Raw genomic sequence first — 13,880 nt, 5'->3', positions numbered from 1 at the left:
TGTAAGGAAGGTTGAATGTTTATGTCATTAGTGCCTCTTTTATGGTCTCTGCTTGCTTAGTGTATTTTCCCATTTCATTTTCAAACCACTTTTGCTGAAGATTGAGTCAGTGTTTCCAAATACATAGACCACCATCAACTTATAATTGCATTTATGACATGGACTGTGTAGCCATTTAATGTAGCTAAGATGGCCCAAATTTTCCCTTTGCTGTTGGCTTGGACAATATGTGTTTAGCTAACAAAATCCAGCTCCAAATTCACCATCTCCCTGATGCCTTTTATAATATTCTACTTTACTCACTTGATTACAGACTTTTATCACAAAATTATATTTTTTTCTTGCTGGCATTTTGCAGCTGCATATTATATCTTCCCTTTGTAAAATGTAAGCTGCTTATGATTTTAGCCTGGCACATAGTAGGTGCACAATAAATGGTGAAGTAAATGAATAAAGTATTATTTCTGATGGACCATGCTGCTGTTTGAATCTACCGTTTAATAACCCTCACTGTGGATGGTATTTGGCCAACCTGGTCCATCATATTGAGATTTAAAAAAAATCTAATTTATATTATTTCTATTGAATTTTAAAATAAAATTTCCACTTAGATAATACTGTATAAAGAATACTTTTTTTTTGCAGATACTACTAAACCTGAAGTATGATAATTAAAAAAAAAATTGGTTTGGCTCTATGCTAAGCAAGGTGTGGAGACACAGAAATAAGTAAGCCATATCCCCTGTTGCCAAGGATCGTAGGGTAAAAAAAAGAGTTACATGTGAAAATAACTAAGGTTAGGATCCAATATTTGCTATAAGACAGGGAGAAAAAAATGATAGATGAAAAACTCTGCCAGCCAGAAATGGATTCATTTGAGATGAGTATTGAAGCATGTGCAGGTGAAGAGGGTTTAATAGAGAACTGAAGAAGGGGCATTTTAGGTTCAGAGAACAGAATACAAAGACAGACCTGATGGTATGGGTACTCACAATGCATGTTGCCGGAACTCAGTTCCTTGGAGGCCCTTATCTCAGCAAACTCAGCTTGGAATCTGCCTGCATCATTCGCTTGCATCTTGGGCAGTGGAAGAATGCCCAACCTACCTTTGCAGTGTGAGTCTTATGAATATCTCAATCACGAAGTCAATCTTACTTTGAACTCTTTTCCTGAAGCCCAGCGGTCACCTTTGATGTCAGAAACACTTTAAAAATTGATTTCTGTTCCCTCAGCAATTCACATTATTGTCAAGAGAGTCCCCAGTGAAGTAGTAATATATTTAGTGTACTTCCAATATGCATGACACATAGAACACTTACAAGTCTATTGCCTTTTCAGAAACAATCACCAAAGCACATGATATGTTATCCGGAAATATCCTACAGATCTAATAGATTGGAATCACTATGAGATTCTGCAGACCCAGACTTTCTAAGCAGCCTCTCTTGAGTAAAGAATTGAGTAGTGGGGTAGTAAGGCTGTAGTTACCGTCTCAGTGCACCCAAACCCCAGTTCAGGAAAGGCCAGGACCTTGGAGATTACACTGACAGTGAGAACATCCATCATTTAATAAAATCCGGAGAGGCGAAGGACTAAGTCTCAGAGCATGAGGAAAGAACTCTTAGATGTGAAAAGCAGCAACTTGAAAGTAACATGAAATACGTGAGATTCGAACAGTTATCTCATTTATTTTTTATTAACACTTAAGGAGAATTACCAAGTGCCAGCACTATTTTAGGTACCAGTGTTATAACAGTGAAATGAAACAAATAAGCATCCCTTCCTTTTAGACGAACTATAATATTACATGTAATTTAATTCTTAAAACAGTCCTCTACGGAAGATATTCTTAGCCTCTCTCCTTTACAGATGAGGAAACTGAGGCTCCCATGAGTTAAATAACTTGCCCATCTTCATACTGCTTGGATGTATTGTAGCTGTTGTATGAACTCAGATACCCTAGGTCTTAACCATTATTCATACTGTCTTCTATGTATGTTGTCTACAAAAGAACAAGTGAGCTAATATTATTGAGCACTGGCCTTGTACCAGTTGTGTTTCTACATGCTTTAAACAAATAATCTTATTGATTATAGACCAGTGAGGAACTATTAGCATCCATATTTGATAAATAAAGAAAATAAAGCCCAGAAAGGTTAAGCAATTTGCAAAGGCCACACAGCCACTAATGGCTGAATCAGGATTTAAGTCAGGTCTGTCTGTCCCTTAAGGGTTCTCTTCCTGTTGTACACTACAAAAATTAATATATGTTAAGCTTCTCAAAAATTTAGTGTTTGCATCAGTGCAATATTTATGTTTGGAGCAAGTATATAGTTTTAGATATATACCGTTTTACTAAAGTTTTTTCTTCCAGTGTCTTTGAGAATATATCAGTGTATTTATTAATTGCTTGAGGTATGTTCTGCATGACTGACAAATTTTTCTTTTTTTTTTTTTTTTTTTTTTTTTTTTTGAGACGGAGTCTCGCTCTGTCGCCCAGGCTGGAGTGCAGTGGCGCGATCTCGGCTCACTGCAAGCTCCGCCTCCCGGGTTCACGCCATTCTCCTGCCTCAGCCTCCCGAGTAGCTGGGACTACAGGCGCCCGCCACCACGCCCGGCTAATTTTTTTGTATTTTTAGTAGAGACGGGGTTTCACCGTGTTAGCCAGGATGGTCTCGATCTCCTGACCTCGTGATCCGCCCGCCTCGGCCTCCCAAAGTGCTGGGATTACAGGCGTGAGCCACCGCGCCCGGCCACAAATTTTTCTTATTTTGCGTAAGTTACAAAAAAGTTAGACATACATTTTCAAGTTCATTCTAAAACTTATAAAACTTCGTAATAATTAAGTTCAAATATCAATATGCCCTTTTCCAGAATTACTTGATTAATGAACCCTTAACAATTGGAGAAATTGATCTTCAGTTAAATTTGAAGTGAATGGTAGATTTAAATATGGTGACTTAGAGAGTTCAACATCATTTCCATAGCACTACTTTACAAAAAATATTTATCTAGAGTTCCTCATTTTCAATATTTCAATCTTGTTTTCATGTAAAACAAAATAATCAATCACCGGAAAAAGCAAATCACCAATCTCCATACCAGGTTGAGAAGGGCGTGTGTGTGTGTGTGTGTGTGAACACTATATATATATATATATATATATATATATATATATATATATACACACACACATATATACTTCAATTTACCTCCAGATAAATGGAATTTGTACATGTGTGTATGTCCACACACATGTAAACAAACATACAGAAAGAGATGTATTTGGAAGAATGATGTAAGTCTTAAGAAGTTGTTAACTTTAAATAGAAAGAGAGAAGATGGGATGGGAAAAGAATAGAAGCTAAATTTCTCTTAATAAACCTTGTTTTGAGGATTTGACTTTATAAATACTTACATGTTTAATAAAATTGTAACATAACATCTAATTTTAAAATTCCCCCAGATTGAAAGCAAAACCAGTAAATCTAACTGCAATTGTGATTGATGGCAAATCTACAGAGTGAACAATCATTTGAAGTGACTTGAAAACAGATGCTTGTACACTTGTAGTGGGATCCATATTCATGACAAAAAGAAATCCACAAAATATCGTTGCTTTTAGTGGTCATATTTTTAGAGGTAGTATTGTTTTTGTCATAGCAGTCTGAGGCTGTTGTTAAAATGTCCAGGATCCAATTTGAAAAGTCTTCCACCAATCAAAAACAGCTCAATTCATACATCAATAAGAATACTAACTGCAGTGTATTAAAGCATGTCAGCTTTTGTTTAAATCCTTTCACTTATAATAATACAAAACAACCCCAGGAAAACCTTTAGGGGATTCTAGGAAACCAACTTTTTATTTTCAAAATTGATAAGCAATGAGAAAGAAGCATTCTGTCTTTAAGACCTGTAACTAAATCATCCTCAGTGGAGAGAAGTTTCCCTTTGTAAGAAATTTTAGCTAATAAATGGAGAAAGAAGAATATAATTAGAAGCTATTTTGCAATTTTTAATGAAATAGTGCATCAGAAATAGTGCTAACATACCAGAGAGAGACATTTATACATCTTGTGTCTCTTGATGGAAATACCCAAAACTATCTATGAAGCAACTTTGCCAAAAAAATGAACCTTGAATCTCATCAAGCCTGTAGATACAATGAACAACTTATAGGAAACACTATAAGACTAGGTTCTGCAAAATCCAAACTATGGGAAATTCTACGGAACAAATGACCTGTTTTTTTCAACAAATAAAGTACAAGGAAGGAAAAAAGAGGTGGGGAGAAAACCTATAGATCAAGAATAGTGTCGTGAGACATTGGGTGAACCCTATTTGGATCCTGATTTGAAAATACTGCAAAAAAGAAAACAAATGAGACAATCTGAAGATATGGTTGGAATATTTGTCTACTCCCTGAATATTTGATATAGTTCATGTTTTTAGGTGTGATAACATATGGCTATGTTTTTTAAAAGACATATTTAAAAGACATACCTATCCATACTGACATAAATATGGCTGAAAAGATATGCTTGTGTGATGTAATTTAAATAATTTGGAGGGAGGATCAGGAGTTAATGTTGAAACTCAATTGGCTTTGAGTTGGTTATAATCAAGCATGTGAGCATTTCTTATACTGGAACCTTTACTTTTGCAGATGTTTGTAATGTTTTATGAAAATAAAAGAAGAGAATACCTCCAAGACATGCTGCTTTCTTATAGATTATTAGTTGCAATCTTAGTTTTGCTGAAGAAATTAACAGAACTTAATACAATTACTCTTATTTGCAAGTCTATAATTTTCTAAACCTAACTCTGATGCAGTCCTACTCCTAATATTTACAAGGCCTAGAACAAGAGTATATAAATGGCAGCCCACATTCTACGGGTCTAAATATATACAAGTTATAAACCAAGTCAGCAAAATAAAATGCCATGTAAAATGTGTTCTCCTTGATGAATGTATCTTCATCATGACCTGGAAGGCCGAATCAAGCATGGCATTCTCATAGTCCTTGGAGTTCCATTTTGGCCCATTTGGTACAGGGGCAGCCAATTCCTAACACCCAGCTTGCAGCCCAGTGGTTTGGTTGGCTCCCTTTCTTCTCTCACCCCCAGCTCCATGTTCCCATTACCACTAAGGGCCTGGGGTGCACATGTGTGTACACCCTAGCTGTCATGTCTATACTCTGTCCACATCCCATGCCTGCTGCCAGCATTTGGCTACTTTTTGGATCTTGGGTGCGCACACATACCCAGCAGGTCCTGGAAGCAGGCTTGGGCCCATTTGGAAACAAATTCCTGGTTCAGCATACCCTGAACATCATGAGGCAGAGGGGAGGCACAGACTCTGCATGGGCATAACCCCATGATGCAGGGAAACCCACACCTGGTGGAAGGGGATGGCTAGAGGAGGCTCGGAGTGAAGCCCCCTGAAGCTCAGGACCTGGAGCTTGGCATTTTGTGCCTGGGTATAAGAGAGACAATACCGTTAGGTGAAATTTTCCAATTCTTACAAGAAACCCTTCCCTAATCGTGTTCACATGGTTTGACATTTTTAAATGCTTTTGACATTTGGCTTTTGCAAATATTAATAACAGTTTAGCTGATAGAAATATAAACTGAACGTTAGTTGTATAAAAATTATATGCTCTCAAAATATATTTAGCAACTTCAAAAGATTTAGCTGCCCATCTGTTTTGTAGAATTAACACCAGCTTGAAACATATTCAAGAAAAAAAAAAAAAAACTCCAATTGTGTAAACTATCCTTAGGGGAAGAGAGGATTCTGAGCACCACCCAAGGTAGGGTCACTGTCCAAACACTTGGGCCCTATAACATAAATGTAAGTGTGAGTGGCCGGAGCGACTGTTTTGACAAGTTGACAGAAAACTTCCCTAGAACACAAAGTTTCATCCCATGGAGCAGCTGGAAGCAGAATTCAGCAAGGAGAACTGCCCTGGCTGCCCTATGGCCTGTTATCTGGGGACACGTTTCATCGTATCCATTTGCTAAAAGTGTAAGGCCAGCAGAAGATTCCATGCACACATCTGGCCCTGGGTCATCTCTAATAGAAATAAAACAGTCAGCTATGAGACAGTCTGCTCCACCACGGTGACCTTGTGCCCCATTTAGTGGCATTTGGATATTTGTAGGAGGCAAATTATAGGGTAGTTCTGACAATAATTGTATATTAAACCAAATGGCTGCTCCTCATCTGTCTACATAAAGGCTTGGAAGGGTTTCCAATACTTCTGAGTCTTACTGCAGATGGCATTGCCATTCTTGTGAATGATAGTTGATGGTTTCAGCTGCAAGTTAACATTGGAAGTGTAGCTCCTAATTATACTGTTAACAGATATTTATAGTGGTTTTTGTTATGTTCCAGAGACATTGGAGGGTGTGTGTGATTGCAGGCCTCTGTATTGTCATGTAGTCCTTGTAGTTAACCAGTGAACAGCATACTTTTTTTTTTTTTAAGACGGAGTCTTACTCTGTTGCCCAGGCTGGAGTGCAGTGGTGCGATCTTGGCTCACTGCAAGCTCCGCCTCCCGGGTTCACGCTATTCTTCCGCCTCAGCCTCCCGAGTAGCCAGGACTACAGGCACATGCTGCCGTACCCGGCTAATTTTTCGTATTTTTAGTAGAGACGGGGTTTCACCGTGTTAGCCAGGATGGTCTCGATCTCCTGACCTCGTGATCCACCTGCCTCAGCCTCCCAAAGTGCTGGGATTACAGGTGTGAGCCACCACGCCATACCTAGCATACCTATTTTAAAGATGAATAAACTGTGACTCAGAGGGCTAAGGTCATAAGACCAGTAAGAACTTCTGATGTGTATTTTTCCAATTGTAAAGTTTCATGTTTTTTCTATATGTTGCACTGCCCTTGGTCTACCCATTTTCTTCTACAGAGAATTTTGCATTTCTGTCTCCCAGCTGGATTTCTGTTTCAGTGACCTCTCATGTATTCTTTTAATTTACCTGGAATCTTAGTATCTATTGGCAGTGGCTGTGGGCTGGGGGAGATTCTATTACTCATCCTGTGCTATGTCCCTTTCTTCCTAGAGTGAAAGTTTCAAGTGATTTTTTTCCACTAATTTATCTTTTACTCTGTGGTCACTCTCTTGTGTTTTTCACTTAAGCAATCTGTTAGCCAAATGTTCATCACAGCCCAGTGTGAATGAGGCTCTTGAATGAAATTGGAAATGATTACAGTGAGAAAGAAACAGCTATCTGGATGTTGCCTACACCAAAAGGTACCCGGGCCCAGTCTGCTTAGGGTTATGCCGCTATGACAGAGAATGTTCTTGTTGCCATGAGAATCATGGCAGAGGGCTATGAGAGAGGTGATGGTCATGGGTGTGTTTGTAGAGTGAGGTTCTACCTGTGCACATTCTACATGACCATCAGGAAGGCTCTGATCCCCACTGATTACATGTAAATGAGTTGATCTTGTTCACTGGTAATTCACAGGCATACTCTCATTCACCCCAAATGATGTGAATCTTCTTGTATCTCTCCATTGGTTCTGGGAATATAGTTGGTAGTCAGTAGTGCTTGTTGGCTGATCATTGAGATGCACAGTTATAGTAATTAGGTGTGGTTTTAGCCAAGGTGGCCTGGGGTTTGGTGAGGTCCTTTTTGAGATGGGTATATGGCAGGTCTACAGCAACAATCTGCTTTTAGAGGGTTCTTTGTCTACAGTAATAATCACAAATTCACCTTCACTTAAATTGGTCAAAGCAGAAAATGTGTGGGAGAAGGCTTCTCTCTTTCCTCTTACGTGGTGTGTGTTATGGATGGAATTGTGTACCTCCAAAATTCGAATTTTCGACCCCTAACCCCTGATGTGACTGTATTTGGAGATGCACCCTTTAGGGAGGTAATTAAGGTTAAAGGAGGACCTATAGATGGGACCTTAATCGGATAAGACTGATGGTGCCTTTGTAACAAGAGGTAGAGACACCAGAACACTATTTCTCTGTGGCCATGCAGATGAGAGGCCATGTGAGGACCCAGGGAGAAATTTACCATCTGTAAGCCGGGAAGAGAGGCTTCCCCAGATCCCAGCAACGACGGCACCTTGCTCTTGGGCATCCAGCCTCTAGAACTGTGAAAAAATAAACTTGTGTTGTTGAAGCCCCCCAGTCTGTGGTATTTTGTTATGGCAGCCTTAACTAACACAGCGTGTGAGAATACGGGGGCAAAGTTGTAACTCTGACTTTGTATTTCTATATGTGGCACGCTTCCTTGGGTTCACAAATGAGGAAAGCCATAGGTTATGTGTGATTTCCAGCATGTTACTTCATCTACTTTCTTCCACTCAAGAAAGCACACCAGGATGCATGTGAGTGAAGCTAAAATAATTTATCTGGAATGATATTCTGCTTTTTCTCGCCCTAACAGACAGATGCACTAGGTTTTTAAAATGCCGAAATACTTCCCTCCTGGTTGATGAAAGCTTAGAATGTCCTGACTCTCCCTCCTCCCCAGTGTCCCCTGCACTAACAAATTCCTTCTGTGATACCGTGAACCTCGCCACCATCTAGTACCTGAGACAGCAGCATCTTCTCAGGCCAGTGTCCTTTCTGATTAGTTGATGCCAGGCCCTACTAGTTGTAAATACTTTATTGCCCTTGCTGATTTTAGAAATAATCCAGGATCAGTTCTTTAAAGCAAGTCATTTGAAAACTTCAGGACTTTATTAGTAACAAATAACTACAGGCACTTTGCTATTGGATGCAAGTTGCAATACCACCATTGAGAACTTTTGCAGGAACCCGCAAAAGGAAATCGAGTCTGTAAATGAGAACATTTAAGCATGTATTAGACTGGCTTATAGACATATCCTGCAAGGCTGTGGCAGGGAGGGACTGTAGGAAACCTCTGTTGCTGCAAGGCTGGCAGATGATGAGTAATGTGCTTTGCTCTTTGATTGCATTTCTTCTTTTTCTCTGAAGCCTTCTTGTATCAAGTCCAAGGAAATGAGTAATTTGTGTCAGCTAGGAGCAAAATCAGAATAATTTATTTACTTGAATGCCCATGTTTCTGCATGTTTCTGCGATTACTTGGTACAATAATTGAATTTATGTTGCCATTATTTTTTCTGTGCTTCATTTTGGGACTTTCCCTAATGTATTTGAGTGGAAATGTTTTAATACTTGGTTTTACGTAAGTTTTTTTTTTTTCAGAAAAACTTGATCCCATTGGGAAATGCCTAATGAAATAAATTCTTGATACTTTTAATCCTCTTAATCATTTGAATTCAAAAGAATGGTTTATTTGAAAAAGCCTTTCAAAAAATATCAAACTCTAAATTACTATATTTTTTGTATCACACAAGTAATGCTTAAATGAAACCTAGATTTTTAAGCTCTTATAAAAATTATAAATAAAATAGAGCAATGTCATGAATATAATACTTCCTAGTATTCTACTTCCTATATATCCTTCGGCAGTAACTATCAGACAGTCTTAATAGATCTCTTTACATTTGCAAGCCACATGGGAAATATAATTCTCATAACTCTCTTGAAGAAAGCATTACTGATTTAGTTAGTGGTAGAGAGTTGCTGATTCCTTGATTTATTATACTAATTTACAGTATTTTTGTTTTTCAGTAGTACATGTTATTTCCAGACTGCTTTGTAGAATCTTGTTTCTATATTCTGCAGCACGCATCACCTGATGTGAGTTCAAAGGTTTGACTATGTAGCCCTAAGATATATTACAATCAAGTAAGTGGTATCTTAATTCTATAAAGCACGTTTATCCCAAGATGCTCAGGAAGCTTATATTGTTGTATAATTTGAGGCCTCATCGTACAGGCTGGGAAGTTTTTATATAATTTTAAGAAGGGCTTGGTGGAATTGCTTCTTTTACAAATTAGCCCGAGAGGGAATGGTTAGTCCTTAACAAGATGTGGAAGAAGGAGAAAGAGTATAGAGCATATAAATATTATAGGCCCTTTATTCACAATAACTGTGATATGGAAACAACCTAAATTTCCAACAGTGTAAGAATGGGTAGAGAAAATATGTGTATACACACAGACACAATGGAATATTATCATTAAAAAAGAAGGAAATCCTCCCACTTGTGACAACATGGATGAGGCTAGAGGACTCTATGCTAAGTGAAATAATCCAGACACAGAAAGACATATACTGTATAACCTTACTTTTATGTCTTAAATAGTTGAACTCATAGAAGCACAGAGTAGAATGGTGGTTGCCAGGGATTGGAGAGTGAGAGAAAGGGAGAGCTGTTTGTCAAAGGGTACGAAGTTTCACTCATGAAGGATGAATACGTTCTGGAGAGCCATTATATAGCATGGTGACTGTAGTTAAGGTTTTTAAAAGTATTGGCAAGGACATAATGTCCCTTGAATGTTAAATGAATTTTTATGTAAGGAAAGGCTAACAGGGTTCATTATAATAGTGAAAGTTGAAATTCTGTTTTCATTCATTCATTTATTCATTCAACTTGATTGAAGACTTGTAGTGTGCGAGTGACTGCGTTTGATGAAGGGAAAGAGTTAAGGAGATGTAGGAGCATGGTTCTTAGTCTCTCAAGGGACTCCGTGGAAGACTGTTATTAAAAAGAGAGGTGCTATCCTGGGATGCTGGTATGTGCATCGGGGATACTGTCCTCTAGCATTTCTCTCTTATTCAGTGCTTATCCGTCCTTATCTGGAATGCCTGTTGTCTTGACAGGTATTTCTGAATGCCTGCTGTGCACAATATTCAGGCTTCTCTGATTAGGGCAGACACAGAAGAGAATTATGCACACTGCCTAGTTAATTATAAATCAGAACTCTGGATCACAGAAAACAGCAAACTAAGATGATCTTCAAGTTAAATTAGCAGAGTTATTAAATGCTTATCATCATCTCCAAAGAGTCAATAAGAGAAGGGAAGGGAACTTGAAAAATAGCATGAGGGATTTAGGCTGTAAGTAATACAACTATATCTTAACAGTAAAGATGGTTAAATATTAGAGACTATTGGAAGAGGCTCAGTTTTTCAAATGACAAGAGTGGTTAAATCTTATTATTGCCTAGGGTCAGTGAGATGGACTAGATAATGTTTAAAGGTTATTTCCTACCTTAGAGGAATATGCCTTCATGATGGGCAGAAATAAGACGATGGTGAAATGATTCCCAACAAAACCATTTAGATGACGCCCTAACTTATTTTTTAAAAGTCTATTTTCCCCTACCAGATTTGAGCTTCCCAAGTCCAAGGCACTATATATTTATATCTGTATCTAGGGAACATGGCACAGCACCCGCCTCATAGTGGCTCTCAGTAAGTGTCTGCCTGGAGGTGCTTGTCATGGGCTGGCTAGCATGGCTGATCAGGTTATTCAAGGGCATTTTCTTCACTCCATGCAGATGGACTGCTATTTTACAAAGTTCTAAATATGATAATTCAGCAAAAGAACATATGGATTTACTAACGTTAAATTAACACATGTATTTACATTTTGTGTAGTTTTATTGCAAGTCTCCTTTAAATAGGGATCTCTGCTGCTTTTGAGCTCGAATTAAAATGTCCAAAATGTGAATTTTACTAAGTCTTACAACTTTACAGTAATACAGCTTTTATGCAAAACAAAATTTGTGAGTGCAGAGACCATGACTCGACATGCAGCCACAGTCATGACCCACAGACCCTGTTGGAGCCCATTGGTGGCTTTTTAGGTTATGAAGATTAGATGATGACAAGGAGGTAGTGGGCGCTGGCCGTGGTCCCTTCTACCCTGAGGGACTTTGCAGGGTCTAGTGTGAAGAGTTTGCTCCAGCTTCACCTGCAGGCAGAAGAGCGTTTAGATGATCCCTTCTGACTCAGTGTTTCAGAAGTTTTGATGATGTAAAAATGACTTTTTTTTACAACTCTACACTATTTTAGAGGCAGGCATCAGTGGAGCAGGCTAAAAATTGCTCCCATGTAAGGATAAGTTATGGAAAAGATTCACGTTAGAAAAGAAGGGAGACGTTGTCATACATTGGAAAACCCACAAGATTGGTTTTTGCCAGCCATTCACTTTTGATTCTGATTCTGCCTGATAAATAAGGAGCTTAATGACCTTGAATAATTTCTCTAATGCTTTAGGGTCTTGGTTTCCTCATTTCTAAAATAAACTTCTCGCTATAACATTTTATGAGTCAATAAAATTTTTCAAACTTCCAAAGCAGCTGTTTCCACAACTCTGTTCCCTCTTCCAATAGTCTAGTCTAACCATATTTTTAAAAACTGCTGTTTTTACAGTCACACAAGTTCTGCCTCACCACTTCCCAATAGCATTCAAGAAGAAGAAGAAAGTCATTACTTAGAAATGACTTAACTCAAATATCACTCTTCACATGTTTTCAGAAACAGGGTGACCTTTACTCGGGATCTGCATGAATGAGAAGCATTTATCTCTCCTCTGGAGAGTGGAAGAACTAGCATTTGGGCTGATGCCTTATAAATACACCCCAAATAATTGCCCACTGAGCAGGTGCTTCTGGTCCTGTTGCCTACTAAAGGGTGTAGTAGGATGATCCTTTCTCCATTCCCACTAAAACGTATCCCCTGGCATAGCCCACACTTAATGCTCTTCTTCTCTAATACAATCAGCTTCCTGTAGTTTTCCTTTTTTTTTTTTTTTTTTTGAGACGGAGTCTGGCTCTGTTGCCCAGGCTGGAGTGCAATGGTGGCATCTCGGCTCACTGCAAGCTCCACCTCCTGCATTCACACCATTGTCCTTCCTCAGCCTCCCGAGTAGCTGGGACTACAGGCGCCTGCCACCACTCCTGGCTAATTTTTTGTATTTTTAGTAGAGATGGGGTTTCACCATTTTAGCCAGGATGGTCTCCATCTCCTGACCTCATGATCCACCCACCTCGACCTCCCAGAAGTTTTCCTTTTTTAATAAAAGGAGAAGAGAGCTTCCAAAGGAGGGACGGGTTTAGGTAGAAGGAGGATGGGTCGGTGAGAAGAGCACATATGGTAATATTTTGGCTTCAGTGAGTAGGCTTTATGTTTTATTTCTATGCCTGTGAAAGCGCAATATAAACATGTTAGGAAGAGGGAGAAAAAATCACTAAAAACTCTTAATCCCAGAATATATAAGCAGATAGTTTAAACTGAGCAACAGCAACATTTTTTTAAGAGATGCTATTTAAATGCTTCCTTCAGACCCTCTGCCCATTTGCTCCTTGCCTATCAGGGCATATGTTGAACACCACTCGGCACTCACTGAATTCAATCATTGAAACCAGCTGGTCCTCTTAGATTCTGTCATCCCACTGTTTAGTGTGGTGGAATGCCCAGTGGATGGGCTGTGTCTGGCTGGGTTGTTTGAATGGAGAACCTACCAATGCAAGTAAAATGGCAAAAACAGACGAAGGCCAGTTTTGAGAGGCAAGGGAATAGAGGGAAGGAAATAAAGAGTTCAAAAGAGTAGAGAGAGGAAATTCTCCCATGTAGAGTGAGAAAGTCAATTGGATAGATTTGAGTGCAAATTAGTATTTTATTCTCTTATAGATGAGAACAATTAGAATTTCCCAAACTAAAACCAGAGGAGAAAGACAGTAGTTATGTCCATGTATTTATTGTCTTTCTAAACCATCAAGTAAACAAAAAAGTAATGTCCCTTAGCAAATCAAGGATGAAATAATTCTAAGCATCTGTGTTCAGTGGTTGAATGTTAAAAACAAAGAATAACTCCTATGAGGATACATTTTTTCATGAACAATTTTTAATGAGGAAATAAGTATATTTTAGGTGTAATTGATAAGAAGTTTGTCTAAAGATACAATAAAAATATGAAGGACTAAAGGCATGAAGTAAAAGATACAAAAGGATGCATTTCCTAGAAAATG

The 13,880-nt window shown here is 38.6% G+C and overlaps 1 protein-coding gene across 19 annotated transcripts in view; it reads left to right on the top strand.

Moving 5' to 3' along the window:
* NCKAP5 (NCK associated protein 5) overlaps positions 1-13,880 on the top strand; it is a 1,003,049-nt gene that overhangs the window by 555,876 nt on the left and 433,293 nt on the right. The window lies entirely within an intron of this gene.

The sequence above is a fragment of the Homo sapiens genome, chromosome 2 (assembly GCF_000001405.40).
Source record: "Homo sapiens chromosome 2, GRCh38.p14 Primary Assembly".
Taxonomy (NCBI): Eukaryota; Metazoa; Chordata; class Mammalia; order Primates; family Hominidae; genus Homo; species Homo sapiens.
This window is presented reverse-complemented; position numbering and strand designations above follow the sequence as displayed.